General features: G+C 52.0%; 1 protein-coding gene across 4 annotated transcripts in view; it reads left to right on the top strand.

Moving 5' to 3' along the window:
* Window positions 1-16711, top strand: part of FSTL4 (follistatin like 4) — a 645613-nt gene that overhangs the window by 549075 nt on the left and 79827 nt on the right. The window lies entirely within an intron of this gene.

Below are 16711 nucleotides of genomic sequence, written 5' to 3'. Positions count from 1 at the left end.
ACGAAGGAGAAATATCACCCAACATTGTTATCTCTCAGAAAATACTCTCTGGAATCATAAAAAGGGAAATACAGTGAAGCTAGACCACGAAGGCTGCCCCTTAAATCAGGAGCTTCTAAATTATCACAGTGGCGCTCTCTAATTCCTCGGAATGAAAACATTAAAGATGACAATGTCCCTTTAAATCAAATGCCCTGGGAGTTGCTGTAAAGAGTCAGTGGGCTTTTTTTTTTCCCTTGTGAGGATTTTTTTTTTGTCTCTTTTCACCTTATAATAAAATATAAATCATAACTTGTGGGGGCAGGCTCTACAGAGCAAGCTGTGAACATGGATTTTCTGAAAATGAAGGTTTTTTTTAATGGGAATCATCTCATCTCAGGAAGCATGAGAGTCTCAAATGATGAGTTTGCTACTTCACACTTTCTTTTTTTTTTTTTGATTCACAGGTGGGCCTCAGGCCTAGCTGTGGCACCACTGTGATGAATCATGATGGCACACCCCAGGAGGCCAGTGGGCTGACTCAACCCCTCCTGGAGCGGCCACTGTGCTCAAGCTGTGCGAGGTAGGGGCAGGGAGGCACAGCCTTGGGAGGTAGCATGTAGAGGCAGGAGGACTGGGGCCTGGAGGAAAGGGCATGGTTCACACCCCTTGGCCCCTTCCAGGCAGGCCTGGTGGTCTGAGCTCTTGTGCCACAAAGAGAACCCAGAGGCTAGTGCAGCCCCAGGAGGAAGGGTTGGGAGCCACGGGTCAGAGAAGGCTGCATGGCAAGGTGGACTTGTTTTCTGCATTCTGGTGTGGAAAAGGGGTCAGAGATGGAGAAAGAACTGGCGAGTTGACCCAGGCTCGGGAAGTACCAGGGCAGCACGACCCCAAGGGTCTGCCCTTGGTCTGCCACTCCCCTCTCTCTGCGATCCTCCATCTGCCAGTGCCCATCTCCATGGGCTGGGTGGAGACTCAAGGCCTGGCAGGGCCAAGTCTGGGAAGCTGCTGGACAGTTGTAACCAAGGTAGGAAAGCAGTCTCTGATATTTTAGAAAAGTGTTCAAGGCTTAGGTCTGAAATCGCAGGGCTTGCTGATTAAAACATGTACCCTATGGCCCACAGCCCTCTCCCCTCCCACTGAACTAGCCAAGCATCTTCAGAAAGGCTGGCTCTTCTCATCAACTCCATGGCCTTCATCCTGACCCCTGGCTTCCCTCTGTGCTCCGTCCACACCCTCCCCACCTCCCCTACACCTGTACAGGAACTGAGGCCTGCAACAGGTCACTCTTGCCCTGCGGTTGGCTTAGGCAGAGAACACTCCTATCTTTATCCAGTCTGACCTCTCTGCAGATCAGGCCCTCCGGACCTCTCCCTCCTTGAGACGCTCATTTGCTCTCCACCTTTTTGGCCACCTGTTCTCCATCTTATTTGAAAGTGAGCTCCTTTCCCCTGCCAGCCCCTTACACTTTCTTGGTAGAGAGCCAGGATGTAGGCATCTTAGGCCTTGTAAGCCATACAGTGTCTACCACAGCCACTGAACTCTGACATTGCAACGTGAGGCAGCTGTAGATAAAATGTAAACAAATGAATGTGTCTGTGTTCCAGTAAAACCTGATTTACAAAAACAGATGGAGGGCCTGTCTGAGACACTCAGGTGCGCTGCTCCCCTCAATTTACTCTGCCCTGGGGAGGGTCTTGTCCCACCCACGCCTCCAGACATGAGGTTTCCAGCACCAGGTCTTCAGAAGTCCCTAAGGTCCAAGGGGACCAAGAGGTCCAAGGGTCATTACTTAGAGGCACCACACACTTAGTGTGACTCAACGGCCCGCTCTTCCCCCAAACTCCCCTCCCCTCCTGTGTCTCCTGTCTCACCAACATACTTTCCCCCTTCCCATTGTACTTCTTTTGTAATCGGATTGTTAAGTGCTTCCAAGTGGGCGGTTGAGTCTTTGAGAGCTGCACGTGACCTTGAGCGCAGGCTCAGGAGATGGGTGGGGAGTCGGAGACGGAGGCTCTAGGGAGACTGAGGGGCTGGGAGATGCGGCACAAGAGTGGGAAGCCCAGCACTGCGGACTCACTGGGCTCGATCTCCTCCCTGACGGGCTGGCCAGCATTCAGCTGTATTGTCATTTCAGTGGGGTCCCACAGGGGGTCATGTTGAAAAGAAGCAGCCCACATTGCAGGCGAGGGACCGCGGGCCAAAGGCAGGTGGCCTGGAGCCATGGGCCCCTGTCTGCCGGCCTGTCCATCCCCAAGTGTGCTGAGGTCACTGAGCTGAGGGCAGTGCTTAGAGCCATCCAAGAGGGCTCCAGGGGCGGGGACTGTGTTGGAGGCCACATGCCACCCTCTGCTGTGGTTCCTGCTTTACCTCATCCTAGGAGACCACACAGCCTAGGCATAATGCCTAGAGCTAAAATTCAGGGGCTTCAGATAGCCATGTCATAATCCACAGACCCAGTGGAAAGTACAACTCCCTGGGGCCCCAGTCGCCCGTGTGGGACCCCTCCCCAAGGCTGCTGGCCTGCTGGGAAGCAGGGATGCCAGATGAAGAGGGAAGACCCAGGCTGGAAGCTTTGCCTTATCTCCATGCCACAGAGGCTCAAGGACTCCCCGATGGCCCTCACAGGAGCTCTGCCCCCAGCTCCATTTTCCTCATTCGCCCAGTGCTGGCGGCAGAGGGCATCAGCAGAGGTGCAGGCATTGCGAGTGCCCTCTGATGCAGCTCCAAACATTCTGTTCACTTAGAGCAGCAAACAGTCTCACCTGTCTCCTGCTCATCATGGGTACATAAAATTCCCTGTTGTTTATTCACTCTCCTCCTCACAGTCCTGGATGGCAAGACACAGTAATTAATCATCAGGCTGCTTTTGCGAGGGGCCACACCCTGCTGGTGCTGCACCTGGGCAGCTGCCTAACAGATTGGCTGCCGAAGGTTTGTTCTGAGGCTGAATTCTTGATCTTGGCCACTCTCTCGGGGATGGAGAGCCATCAGCACCCACTTTGCACGCAGGCCTCACTCCCGGCACACTCTCAGAAAGGCCCTGGAATTTATTTTGCCCATTTGAATACAAATGCAATTGAGACAAGATTCTTTTTGTTTCAGAAGTCATTGCTTCATTTCTGTTTCTCGTCAAGTGAACTGACAGCCAAAGAGAGTTGAAATAAACAACTCTGTGCCTGGCTGAGCCAGATGAAATAAGTCCCCCCACCCATCACTGAGACATGGTACCATCAGGTTGTGTTACCAGTTAAGGGCTTGGTGCTGGTCTTTGGGCAGCTCTGGAGGCAGAATGTCAGGCTTTGGGCTACATCTGTGCCAGGACAGGCTGCAGGACTAGTCCCAGAGTTGGGCAAGCTGGAAGACAGGTGCCTACCACAGCAGGACACCTGCCCCTCTGCCCTGTGTCTTAGAGGCCTTTTCCTTCAGCATGGATCCTGGGGAAGGGAGACACATGCAGTCATTCATTCAGGAAGGGGAGAAAGTGGCAGCCAAGGCCCCACTCTCAGGAGCTCCTGACCCATCTAGGGAAGTGGGGCTCCCAGGCAAGAAGGAGGTATGTAAATATCAAGTGTTAAACCACAGGGTTGGGATGATAGGTGCTGTGGAACCATCTGGGCTTCCTGGAAGAAGATGGGCTTAGGCTGGATCTTGAAGAATGAAGGTGGGATATATTTGGACAGATAGAGAAGGAAAGGGCTCTACTTCAAGGCAAGAGAAAGGCTCAGAAGAAGGATTAGGAGTGGGGATTCAAGAATATAATTCCTTCAGTATTAAGTACCTGCTAAAGGTGGGCAGATCAATAGCGGGGCAGTTGGGGTTGTGACCTCATTTTCAGCTCTGCCCTGCTTTGCCCTGAGGCTCCAGACCTCGCAGCCCCCAAGGTTCCCACTGTTATCCCAGTTCCCAAGGGCAGCTGGGATCTGACCTTGCTCCTGAGAAATGCTGCATGAAAGAGGGGCATACACTCTGTGGAGCTCCCTTGCCCAAGGGCCTCCTCCAGGCCAGGCTGTGCCTCTGAGCCCAGGCTGCAGAGACGGGAGGATGGCACAGCACCACCTCTAGGGTATGGAGAGCAGCCTCTGACAGACCCTCACCTCAGTCTTTGTAGAAAGAGAGCAGACAGTTTTCCTGTAACCGAGGAATAATTCTCAAGGTGGACATGCGACCCAGAAAAATGGAGTGATGCTTAGTCCCCAGATGCCCCCTCCAGCGCTGTCCAGCTGTCCTGACAGGGGCTGCCACTCGGATAGGTCAGTCAAGCGAGGCCAGAGCCCTTTTCACAGGCACCTTGGGGCCTTGGGTCTACCTTCACTTTCCAGGACACAAAGGCTCTCCCTAGGCAGGCTCTGTCCCAGCATCCAGGGCCAAGGGGCTCAGGCAGAGGCTCTTTAAAAGCTTGGTGCTTCATCTTGATGAGTTTCTTGCTGGGGGCTCTGAGCATTGTGACTGTGACAGGTTTTGAGCCCCTCGTGGCTGGGCAGGGTCTGTGTTTGGTCTTGTGGGTACTGAATATGAAGCTGTTTCCAGATGAACAGCAACATCGCTCCAAACAGTTCAATTCAGTGAGCGGGCCAGGAGTGGGGCCTGGGCAGACCCAGACAGGCCTGGGAGGGGCAGGCAGCAGCCTCTCCCTGGCTGTGCTGCTGAGGGTGCCTGGGGCTCCCTGTCCCACCATGGGGGACCCCCGGGACAGAGGGGCCTCTACTACAGGGCCCCTGCAGCCTGTCTCCAAAACTCTCATCTAAGGCCTGCAGAGTCCGCAAAGCCCCACCCTCAGAAAGGTTAAGTCACTCACTCCCAGGGCTACCTAGTTAGTAAGAGGTGGGGCTGGAATACTCAAAATACATTAATCATTTTTTAAAATAATAATTGTTCTTTACTGAGGCATTACTTTGTGCCAGGCACTACGTTAAATCATTTATATTATATGTAGTTCAGTCCTCAAACAGGTACTATTAGTAACCCCAGTTTACAGATGAGATGACTGAGGTTGGGCAATAGCACAGCTGGGATTAAATCCAGGCAAGTCCAAGTCCAAAACAAACAGCCTTTCTCTGCTTTCCTGAGGCAGGAGATTGGGGATAAGGCATGAGGGAGAGATGCAGAGTGCTTGTGATGTGGCAGTCATGGAAGGCAGGCTCCCTGGAGGAGGTGGTGTTTGGCATTTGAATGGCATCCAGAAGGATGTGTGTGATTGGAGTAAAGGGCAGGAAGAACAGTGGGAGCAAAGAAAGACACTGAGGCTGGAGGACACAGAATACATTCAAGAAACGGCACTGCTGTCATCCTAGAGCAGAGTGCGGGCAGCAGGAGGCAGTGGGGACCACAGTGTCAGGTCAGTCAGACTATAGAGGCCTGGAATGAGAGGCCAAGAACAGCCATCCAAAGCTCTGGGCAGGGGAGAAGCAGATCCAGGGCTGAGCTGGTTGGGATGCCTATGCCTGCATCTTAGGAAATGAAATGACCCAACTGCGGCCTCCATCATAGGCCAGCACCCAGGTAGCATCCTGAGCCACTGCTGATTTAAGAGATGTGCATGCAGCTGTCATTCACAGACTCCCAGCAATAGTGTTCACCTCCTCGGTAGAATAGTCACCTACAAAGCATTTTTTTTTTTTTTTTTGAGATGGAGTCTCGCTCTGTCACCCAGGCTGGAGTGCAGTGGTGCGATCTCAGCTCACTGCAAGCCCCACCTCCTGGGTTCATGCCATTCTCCTGCCTCAGCCTCCCGAGTAGCTGGGACTACAGGCGCCCGCCACCACACCTGGCTAATTTTTTGTATTTTTAGTAGAGACGGAGTTTCACCATGTTAGCCAGGATGGTCTCGATCTCCTGACCTTGTGATCCACCCGCCTCAGCCTCCCAAAGTGCTGGAATTACAGGCGTGAGCCACCGCGTCCGGCCAACCTACAAAGCTTTAACACACTGAAAGCAGAGGATTTCTGCCTGAAAAGCACTGGTATTTGGACTTGTGAACATAAAGATGGGAATGCAACCAGGCAATGCAGGGGCTGCCTAGAGTCAAGGGTTTGTTTTTAAGTAAGAGAGACAGAATGATATTTACAATCAGTACTTCTCAAATTAGGTTTTCTTTTTATGGGATTGAAAATTCTCCATTCAAGCCCCATGGAGAGATGTGGTCTGAGGGCAGCATTGAGGCGATCAGTGTGTCTTAAAACTTCCAGACGCTCACAGACACTTAAAGTAAAAACAGAGAGAAACAAAATTGTTTCCAAAAAGCAGCAAAGAAGGCTGATCTGCTTGTTAGGATCCTTGCAGTCCACTGTGGGCCAGCTCAGATGCCACCTCCTCCAGGAAGCCCTCCCTAAGTCCCCTGCCTGCAGTCCTACCTTGCTTCAGATGCATAGTGGAGGGTCCCCAATGTGATGATGTGGCCTCCAGCTGGGGCAACATCCATGGGCTCCAGAGAGCCACAGGGGTCATGAGTTGACTTTTTAAGCCTTTTGAACCATAGCCTATGGGTGAGAAGAAAGGTTTTTGTCAAGATTGAAGAGGCGATTAACTTGTAGCGGGTGGATGTACATCAAAAACGTGCTCCACAGAAACAAGATCTCTTCAGAAAAAGTTAGGTCTCATTGCAAGTGTTTTTACATGCCTGAATGTGGAGATCTGGGTAGGGCCTCCAAAGCTCTAAGGTCCGTTGTCCCTCTCTGTTAGTACCTAGCAAGTGTTAACCGTGTGCCTGATACATGCTAAATACTTTTCACATATTCAGTCCTCACTAAAAGTCTATGAGGCAGATTCTGAGTCCCATTTTAAAGAAGAGGAAACTGAGGTCCAGAGAGGTTAAGAAATTTGCCCAAGGTTGCATAGTCAGTAAATGGTGGAGTTGGGATTAGAACCCAGGCTCCTAAGCACTGCACAACATCACACCCAGGGATGCTTAGAGGTCAGCCTTGTGTCGTGACCATGTCACACACACACCTAGGTTGCAAGTGCCATGGACACAGGGCAGGTCAGATTCTGCTGTGCTCAGGCACCCAGGACAGGGCTTGGCACAGAGCTTAGTTATTGGTGCCCTGGCAGGTGGGGCCACCGATCCAGCTCCCTTCCTAGGACTTCGTGCTCTGGGCAAGTGGTCAACCCTGAGAGTGCTGACAGCCCAGTGGACAGGTCTTGGCAAAGTCTATGCCTGGGCGTGGCCTAGCCTGCAGGCCCATCCTGAGGTTTATGGAAAGTGAATCACCAAACCGGGCCAGGTGGTGCTGAGCTGGGTGCAGCTGGGGCAGCGAAGGAGCCATTGGACCTCATAGTCTGAGTGATCCTCAGAGACTGACTCGCCAGGGAGTTTTGTGTGACTGACTGACTCCACAGCTGGGAGCTTTGTGTGACTTCCTCACAGAGGAAGATCACGTGAGATGAGTGAGGGAGGCTCCTTGTGGTGGCAGGACATGCCCTTGGCCTTGGAGGAAACAGGGAAATCATTCCTTTGGAACTGTTAAGAGGAAAATGTGAGAATTCAGATCCTACTCCATGGCAGTTCTGAGGGTAATATTTTAGGGCCAAGGGAATGGGGCACCTTTCCTGCCCAAGTCAGAGAGAACCTTTGGTACCAGAGGCAGCCTTCAGGGAAAGGCTAGGGTCCCAGCCAGCTGGCACCTGACTGAACCTCACTTGAGCTGTATGTGTTCCCCTCATTCTGCCAGGACACTGGTCAAAGCTGAAATATTATTACTATTACAAGATTTTAGCAGTGCCACCTCCATCAAGATTTCCATTTGTCTTCTCGCTTCTCTTCTCATTGTTTACAAATATTTCTTGACTTCTCTCTCTTCTTTCAAACAGTGCCCTGCCCATTTATAATCAGAAGACAAATAAACTTTGTGCAAATCTCCCTGTTCCCTCATGAACTAGCCAGGCATAGAAGGGGCAACACCAAGGGTGTGCCTATTGACTCAATGCCATGTTTTGACCACTCTCAGGGCCGCCCAGTGGGGCTTCCATAGCATCACCTATCATCTTGTGCCCACTTACTCCAGAGCCTTCGCTGGCTCCCTATTTCCCACCTCACCAAGTCTGAGCACCTCTGCCTGCTCGTTAGGTCTCGTGCCCTAGCCAGTCCTTTCACAGCACCCTGACACCCTACTCAGCCTGTCTCTTCCCGTGGGTCTGTTTACTCCCCTACCCTACCCCAGGACTTCCTCCAAGCAAAAAGCTAATATGTTAAGGAAGGCAAGGACCATGTCAGATATCCTCCAGCATCTGACACCGAGCATCCTCTCCAACTTGAGACAGTTTATAATCATTTCAAAGTAGAGAATGCCAAGAAGACTGGCCTGTGGGGGTTCATCCAAATCTTGGATGCCTGAATCTTCTCCAGGAGGGTTGCCCAAGGACTTAAGAAAAAGAGCGAGTGTCCAAGGCAGAGTCCAAGGAGTGGTTCCAGAGCAGCACATGCCAGGGGCTGTGTCTGCACAGGTTGAGTGGGAAGAGGAAGAGGATAATGGCAAGGATGTAGAGGGAGGAGACTGCCCGGGCAGGCACTGCTCACATCAGCAGGGCGTCAGCAGCAAAACTACTGCTGCCCTCTGCCCACTCCTTCCCCTCCCTCCAGTCCCACTTCTGCCCTGAGGGGCATCTGTCTTAGGATCAAGAAGAAATGTCACACTCCAACAATTGAAGGATAGTGTTTTTAATGACTTGACTCACTCTAATTAGAGGAAGCAACACTTTGATTAGCAGCAGTCTGACCTGGGAGCATGGACTTGTGAGAATTGCTCCTTATGATGTGCTTGGAGTTCCAAATTTGCAGATGGTCTCTCTGAGGTTGGGGCTGGATCAGCGTGAGAGAAGGGACAGTGCTGGGCAGCCCCCTCCCACATCTGTGGAGATAACATCTTGCCTTCTACATGTGTCTCCTGGTCTTTGCCTGATATGGTTTGGTTCCATGTCCCCACCCAAATCTCATGTTGAATTGTAATTCTCAATGCTGGGGGAGGGACCTGATGGGAGGTGATTGGATCATGGGATCAAATTTCCCCCTTGCCACTCTCATGATAGTGAGTTTCCACAAGATCTGATGTTTTCAAAGTGTGTAGCACTTCCGCCTTTGCTCTTTCTCTCCTGCTCTGCCATATTAAGACATGCTTGCTTCCCCTCTGCCTTCTGCCATGATTGTAAGTTTCCTGAGGCCTCCCAGCCATGCTTCCTGTACAGCCTGAGGAACTGTGAATCAACTAAATCTCTGTTCTTCATCAATAACCCAGTCTCAGGTAGTTTTTTATAGCAGTGTGAGAACAGACCAATATATTGCCCTACACCCATGCAGTGCTGTGAGCCAACAGCCCACTGTCCAATTCCTCATAATGGTTTCTATGAGCCACTGCCCCTGGCAAATGCACCTTATGGTCAAACATCTCCAGGGCCTGCTCTCAATTCTACCCCAAGCAGCACTAGAATTTCCTTACCCCTGGGGATCTGCTGCCCCAGGTCTGTATAGGAAGGAATGCCACCATGTGTCTGGCATTATTTGGGATGAACAAGAAGGTGAGAGAGAGAAGTGGAAAGCAGACTGTCCCCCTGGATCTGGACCATGTAATAGACTCCTCACCAGCTGTGTCTCTTGTATTGCTTTCTTTGTCACTTGCCAATGGACACATCTTTCCAAGACAGGGCCCAGGTCACTGTCCACCATTTGGACAAGGGCCAGCCCCACCAGATGGAGTCTCAAGGCACGGCATGGCCCCGTTAGAGCCTTGGAGAACACTGCCACACACACACACACAGACACACACACACACACACACACACGCTAGGCTTAAAGGCCCAGAGGACCCCAGGAAGCGCAGCACACCTTTAGGATGCAAACGGTTCAGGACACCCAGTTTCTCCACCACCACTCTTGAAAATCTCTGTCACCAATGAGCAGCTCTCAGAGGTGAGCAGCAGGTTTCCCTTGTGCCTGGTGAGAAAACAATGGCATGTTTACTTTGGTGGGGTACATCTCCTCCAGCCCAGGGCCCCAACCTTGTGCTAACAGACATTCCATGCCCCTCTGCTCCCAAATCATTTCTCAGAACTTAACAAGTGTTAATGGCTATCTCTTTGGAAAGAGACAAGTGTCAGATGAGCATTGCAAGACTGTAGTATTTGTTTAGAGAAAGTTGTCTTCCTGGGAAAGGGGCTTCTGCTCTTTGTGGTAACAAGGTCAGTACAGACCCTTTCAGAGCGGTAGTTCAGGGCCTCAGACAACTAGGGCAAGGGTGACAAACCCCTGGTTCAATGGGGCTGAGCCCAGGTGAGGGTTCAGGGCAGTTCCCATTGACCAGATGGAGTCAGCAGGCTTCACTCACTGGTGAAGCAACTCAGGTCTCTGTTCAGGGTACACCAGAGCAGTCCCAGCCCCCAGGGCACGAAGAGGGGATGGCTGTCATTCCCAGAACGGAAGACCTCTGCTCCCACCCACAGGAGCCACTGCTGCACCTCCAGCTCACCCCCAAGAAGAATCGTATGGGAGAAATGATCCTGCTGCTAATGGGATTAAAATGCATTTTGAGTTTTCCAATTACATATTTCAATTATTCCGTGAATGTTAATTGGAACTCAACAATGCAACTGTGAGCTGGCCAGAAACCAGAACTGGTGGCTTCTCCCCCAAATGGCCACAGATTTCCTACCCTGGAACATGCAAGGATCTACCAGGAAGACTCCTCTGGGGCCCCAGTGTTTCAGGAATTTCTACCACTGCCTGAGCATGTGGTTTGGTGCTCCTGGCCGTGTTCATGTGTGCCCACAGAAGGGCACATACTGTTTCCTCTGCTTGGAAGCCCCTCCTCAGGCCCTACCTTCCCATCTTCTGGGCAAACTCCTTTAAGACTCAGTTCAAGTGTCCCCTGCTCAGAGAGGCCTTAAGGACACCACAGATGCCCACCAAGCATTTCCCATGTCTCTTCTCATCTGCCTCCCCTGGACTCACTCATCCGCCATTCCCAAGAGCTTACATGGGGCTTGGCACATCATGAGTGCTCTATGAATTCATGCTTCGGGGAAAACATAGGTGCTCAGATTCCTGACCAGTTCCACCCACCTGATAGGCCAGGCTCTGGCCTGGTCTCTAGTCTGGGAGCCTAGAACCTTGGATTTCAGACCCAGGTTTGTCAACAACTCATCTAGTGAAATTTCAGCCACCACACTCCCCAGAAGTCCTGACCCAAACCCCATGACCTGCTCCTTTGAGACCCAACCCATGCCCTGGAAAAGCCAAATCCTCCAAAATCTATATCCCCTCTTCATGTCCTGGGGGCTGGGACTGCCCTAGTCCAGAACAGGGGGCCTTGCCAGTGCAGACCCTCAACTGGTAGCTCAGGAGAAAAGAAAACCCCTCCCTGGCCACTCCCCTTCCGTCTGCTTGTCCATCACAGCCTTCCACTTTTATTCTCTGGTTCCAGCTATTCAGCCCAAATCATAGAAGAGTCCTGGCCCAGGACTGCAGCAGCTTTTAGGGAGCTCAGCTTGGGAATCCTGCAGAGCTGGGCAGATTTACCTCTCTGAGTCTCAGTTTTCTCATCTGTACAATGGAAGTAATTGTACAGAAACATTGTTCTGAGGGTTCAAGGAGAAAATGTGTGTAAAGGGCTTAGCAGAGTGCGAGGCAGGGTGCTCAGGGAATGTCAGATTTTATTACTGTTATTATCTGCCTCCTAAGTCCCACCTATTTCAGAGATATTTTCCTAGGAAAAGGGTTTCAGGCAACAGTCAGCAGGGACCTTCTGAGGTCTCTGGACTCAAGACCTTGAAGTGTCCCTCAAGGCCATTAATGCAGATCACAAATACCAGGCCCAGGATTTGAGCTAAAGGAGAGAACCAGCTGGCTCAGGGCTCCAAGGAGGTTGGGCTGGTGGAAGGGGCAGGACAAAAGCAACTCCAGGGGGTGTCCCAGACACAGGGACCGGTGTGCAGGCTCACTGCTCACCCACCAACTGTTTACCCAGCACGTTCCATGTGTGGGGCACTGGGCAGGCTGCTGGCATTTAATGGTAAGCAAAGCCAGATGTGGTTCCTGCCCTTGGAGAACTTACAGTTCTAGGGAGAAAGATAGGAAAACAGCGGCAGTCTACTCTAGATAGGGTAGTTATGGGTAGGGCACCTGTCTGAGGGATAATGTAAAGGAAGAGACAGGGAGGTGAGAGGAACTAGCCAGATGTCCAGGAGACCTGGAGACAGGGAGGCGCTTGCTGTAATCAAGGGCTGGAGGCAGGCCAGCGTGGCTGGAATGTGGAGGGCCAGGGAAGCTGTAGGGGAGGCCATCACAGAAGGAGGGTGGTCTTTACTCTGTGTTCAGTGGCTACCCTGTGGCTCTGAGTGGGCCTTGGTTTTGGAGGATGTGTGTTCCCAGGCTCTTTGCTAAGCCCTGGCAAAACACCAGGAGCAAGACCAGGCAGCTGAGGGGAGCCTCCCAGTTGTGGTCAGTATCTTGGAGACCTGCTTTGGGGCTGGGGACTTGGTGCTGCCACATTTTGAGAGCAGTTTTCAGAGCAGCTTGGGGATGACTTTTATGCCTCATCTGCACACCCCTGGCCCAGTCCATGTCCCAAATGGCATCAGTCTTGACTGGGAATAACTCAACTCACAAATATTTATGCCTGGGCTCTGAGGTGGCGAGCTCTGTGCTAACTGCAGAGGGTCTGAGTGGGCCAACTGAGCCTGCAACCTGCCATTTCAAGGTCTCTCCCCTCACCCCCTCCCCATACCCACCTGCCACTTGCCACCTAAATCCTGTCCATGTAATGAGGCTGGGGTTGGCAATGAAATGATTGGCCAGGGGTCAGAGCAGGTGGCCACATTGAGGCCTAGAGGGTACTAGAGGTTGATTTGCTCCCTGAGTGCAATAAGGACCTTCCATGGGTTTCCTAGGGCTGATATGAGAGATGATCACATGGTGGCTTTAAACCACGTAAACGTGTGCTCTCACCACTCAGGAGACCAGAAGCCAGAAATCAAGGTGCTGGCAGGATCACACTCCCTTCAAAGTCTCCAGGCCCTTGCCTCTTCCACTTCTGGTGGCTCCTGGTATTCCTTGGCTTGCAGCAATGTAACTCCAGTGTCTGCCTCCATCTTCACAGGGCCTCCTTCTTTGTCCCCCATGTCTTCTCCTCGTCTCATAAGGACACCAGTAAGCGGATTCAAGCCCACAGTAAATCCAGGATGATTTCATCTCAAGATCCTTAAGTAATTATATGTGCAAAGATCCTATTTTCCAATCAGGTCACATTCTGAGGTTCTAATAGACATGAATTTGGTGAGGGGTTGGGGACACTACTCAACCCACCATAGGCCCCAAGGAGGATGCCCCTGCCACATGACCCTGCCTCATGCCCTGACGTGGGTCTCATAGGCCTACCAGCCCTGTGGCCCCTCCACCCCACCTGACCACTCCGATCCTGTGGCTTCCACCCTCCCCGTGCTCACATTCCCCTTGGACCATCCTAGGAGATGTGTGCACGTGGCCAACCCAGACTCAGCCTGCATCTCCTTGCCAGGCTCCTGGGCCCCACCTGTTGGCAACAGTCTAAGGCAGCATTCCTAAACATTTTTGGCACCAGGGACTGGTTTCCTGGAAGACCGTTTTTCCACAGACTGGGAGTGGGGGAGCAGAACAGAGATGGTTTCGGACAAAACTGTTCAGCCTCAGATCATCAGGCATTAGATTCTCATAAGGAGCACATTACCTAAATCCCCCACATGCACAGTTCGCTATAGGGTTTGTGCTCCTTTGAGAATCTAACGCTGCTGCTGATCTGACAGGAGGCAGAACTCAGTGCCCGCCGCTCACCTCCTGCTGTGCAGCCCGGCTCCTAACAGGCCATGGACCATCCACGGCCTAGAGATTGGGAACCCCTGGTCTAGGGCACTAGGAGTACAGAGAACACACAGTCAGTTCTAAAGAACTTCTCTATAGAAACTGACATTCTTTTGCACGAACCCCCAGCTTCACAGCAGCATTTGAGTTGCAACCACACAGTATAAGCCTGCTGGCCAGGGCTGGCAAGTTGCTGGGGCCTCCCAGTGCAGGGCGGGCAAAACACATGTGCAGCTACATCTTCAGCTACTCAGGCCCAGGAAGGCTGTTACTACCCTGTATACCTGAGGCTACCTTGCCATCTGGGCTTTAGTTGATTCGTCTGTGGGAGGAGCAGGGGATCAGATTGTCTTGAAGGGCTCATGCCTGCCTAATATCTTGGTCTGGAGCAAGAAATGCCCCTGCATAGCTGTGAGGAAGCGGCTGGCGTTTTCTAGATGGCAGTGGCCTGCAGACCTATTGGAACCCTCTCTAGGGAGGAACATGTCCCTCTGAGCTCAGCTCCTAGGGTCCAGTGCTCCACTGAGGTCTTCCTTGCACCTCTCATGTCCGCCAAGAGGTTTCCTGATGCCACCTCACCTGGTATGGCCTTCTGGGACAGGCAGGAGACCAGGTCTGAGCTCCCTTAGACTGTGTTGCAGGGAAAAAGTCATCACTAAGACACACCCAACTCCTGAGAGAACAGGAAGCATACGCTGGTATCAGCCCTGACAGAACGTGGGAAAGAAAGTTCCAGCACAGACAGAGCCCTGCTGGGAGCTGGGACTCCTGAAAATGGAAGGGCTCTCCATGTGGCTGGAGGACAAGTAGGATTTGGGAACACAAGCCAAGACTGCAGCCGAGGTGTGGCAGAGGGCCTGGGGAGCTGAGAGAGTTACACAGGGCTTCACAAGACCCCTTTGCTCCAAACAGACATGCCACATGGAACCCCAGAGCTCTAGGGAGACAGGCCTCTGGACAGGATGCCTAGCCCTCCTATAGACTGGCCGTTCTTGCAGCCAGTCATGGGACCTCTCTGCTTCTGAATGTCACTGTGTCAGCCCAGCAGCCCTTTGTACAGGCCATGAGACCAGTCACCTCTGATGTGCTGGGGGTGATCCTGGGGGCACCCATGCAAATCTTTTAAGGTTCCTGGGGTTAGTTTTCCCACCTGTGAATTAGGCTCACCCTCCTGCTATTGTGGTGAGGGCCGCATGTTCCAGGCCACGGGACTGAGCTCAGAAGAGCACACGGCTCTGGTCACAAGAATGGGCAGAGGGTGATGAAATCCCTTGTCGCGTGGCGTCTTTGCTATGAGGCCCCCACCTACTCCGGACTGGCTGTTCTTTATCTTTTGCTTCACATCAGCACCAAGTGTCCCTGGCATGAACCCCCAAAAACAGTTCAGAAGAGGGCTTCCTCCTACATCATGCCGGTGGGGGAAGAAAGCCCAGGGCCCCAGGATCCCCCAGAGTCAGCCCCACTCGTGAGGCTGCTTTATCCAGAGCATCAGGGGCCACCCCAAGGGGCAAGTCAGGTCTAGGAGGGCCCCAGCCTTCCTGCAGGCTCCTCCCAGGACTTGCCCAGGGGCAGAGAGAAGGAAGCTGATGGGGAATAGCAATACATTCTTTCCTCTGTAAAGATTCTATTTGCTGTTTAGCCCTATGTTTTCTATGATAATATTTCAGTTATTTTTTAGATAGTAAGTGGAGTGCAGCATACATAGAAAAGTGCACAGCTCAATGAAGCAGACAAGAGCATGCTGTGCAACCACTGTCCCCATAAGAAATACAGTGCCGCCAGCACCTCAGACGCCCTCCTTCCTGCCTGCACCCAATCCCCATACCCGTCCTCCTACCTGACACAATTATCATCCCACTTTTCTTTTCTTTTTTTTTTTGAGACCGAGTCTTGCTCTGTTGCCCAGTCTGGAGTGCAATGGCACAATCTCGGCTCACTGCAGCCTCTGCCTCTCAGGTTCAAGCAATTCTGCCTAAGCCTCCCAAGTAGCTGGGATTACAGGGGCACACCGCCACACCCAGCTAATTTATTTTTTCATTTTTAGTAGAGACAGGGTTTCACCATGTTGGCCAGGCTGATTTCAAACTCCCGACCTCAGGTGATCCACCCGCCTTGGCCTCCCAAAGTGCTGGAATTACAGGAGTGAGCCACCGCGCCCAGCCTATTACCCTGTCTTTCTAATATCACAGAGTAATTTTGCCTATGTTTGAACTTTGTATCAACGGACTCATACAGAATGACCTCTGTGTGCCTGGCTGCTTGCTTCAAACTATGTCTGTGAGATTTGCCTATTGTCACTTCATTTATAGCAGGAGTTTGTTCCTTTTCATTGATGATAATATTCTGTTGTAAGAATATGCCACCTGGGTTGATGTACCAGCTTGTTTCCAGTTTGGGAAAATTATAAATAATGGTCCTATGAATGTTCTTGTGCAAGCCTTTGGTATGCATCTCTGTCAGAAATCTATCTCTTCGCATCAAATTGCTGGTGGAGAATATGCACAGAGTAACAAGATATTGATGCCTGGTTTTAAACATGCTCCTGTTATAAGAGTAGACACTTAACCATGGTGGGGAGTGGGGAGGGATGGCCTTTGGCCCCAAGGTACCCATTCAGGGCCAGCTTGGGACACAGTCTTGAGGGGTCATTATTATTTCCCCCACCATGGCCTTGAGACCCTGGGTGTTCCTACAGGGCCCTCCCTGCCTTTGGGTCAGGGACACTTTTCAAGAATTTGCCATAAGGCTAAGGGCTCCCTGGGCCAAGACAAAGGAATGTAGGGCAGCAGCCAGGAGGGAGGCCAGGGCGGGACAGACCTTCCGGGGCCCTGCCATCCCCAGCCTGTAGACAGCCACCTGCTCAGAGGAGCCACCTACGCGTGCCCTCCCTCTCCACTGGGGTCCAGCATC

Source organism: Homo sapiens, chromosome 5 (genome assembly GCF_000001405.40).
Source record: "Homo sapiens chromosome 5, GRCh38.p14 Primary Assembly".
NCBI classification, from domain to species: Eukaryota; Metazoa; Chordata; class Mammalia; order Primates; family Hominidae; genus Homo; species Homo sapiens.
The sequence above is the reverse complement of the archived record's forward strand: the minus strand, read 5'-3'. Positions and strand labels throughout refer to the sequence as shown.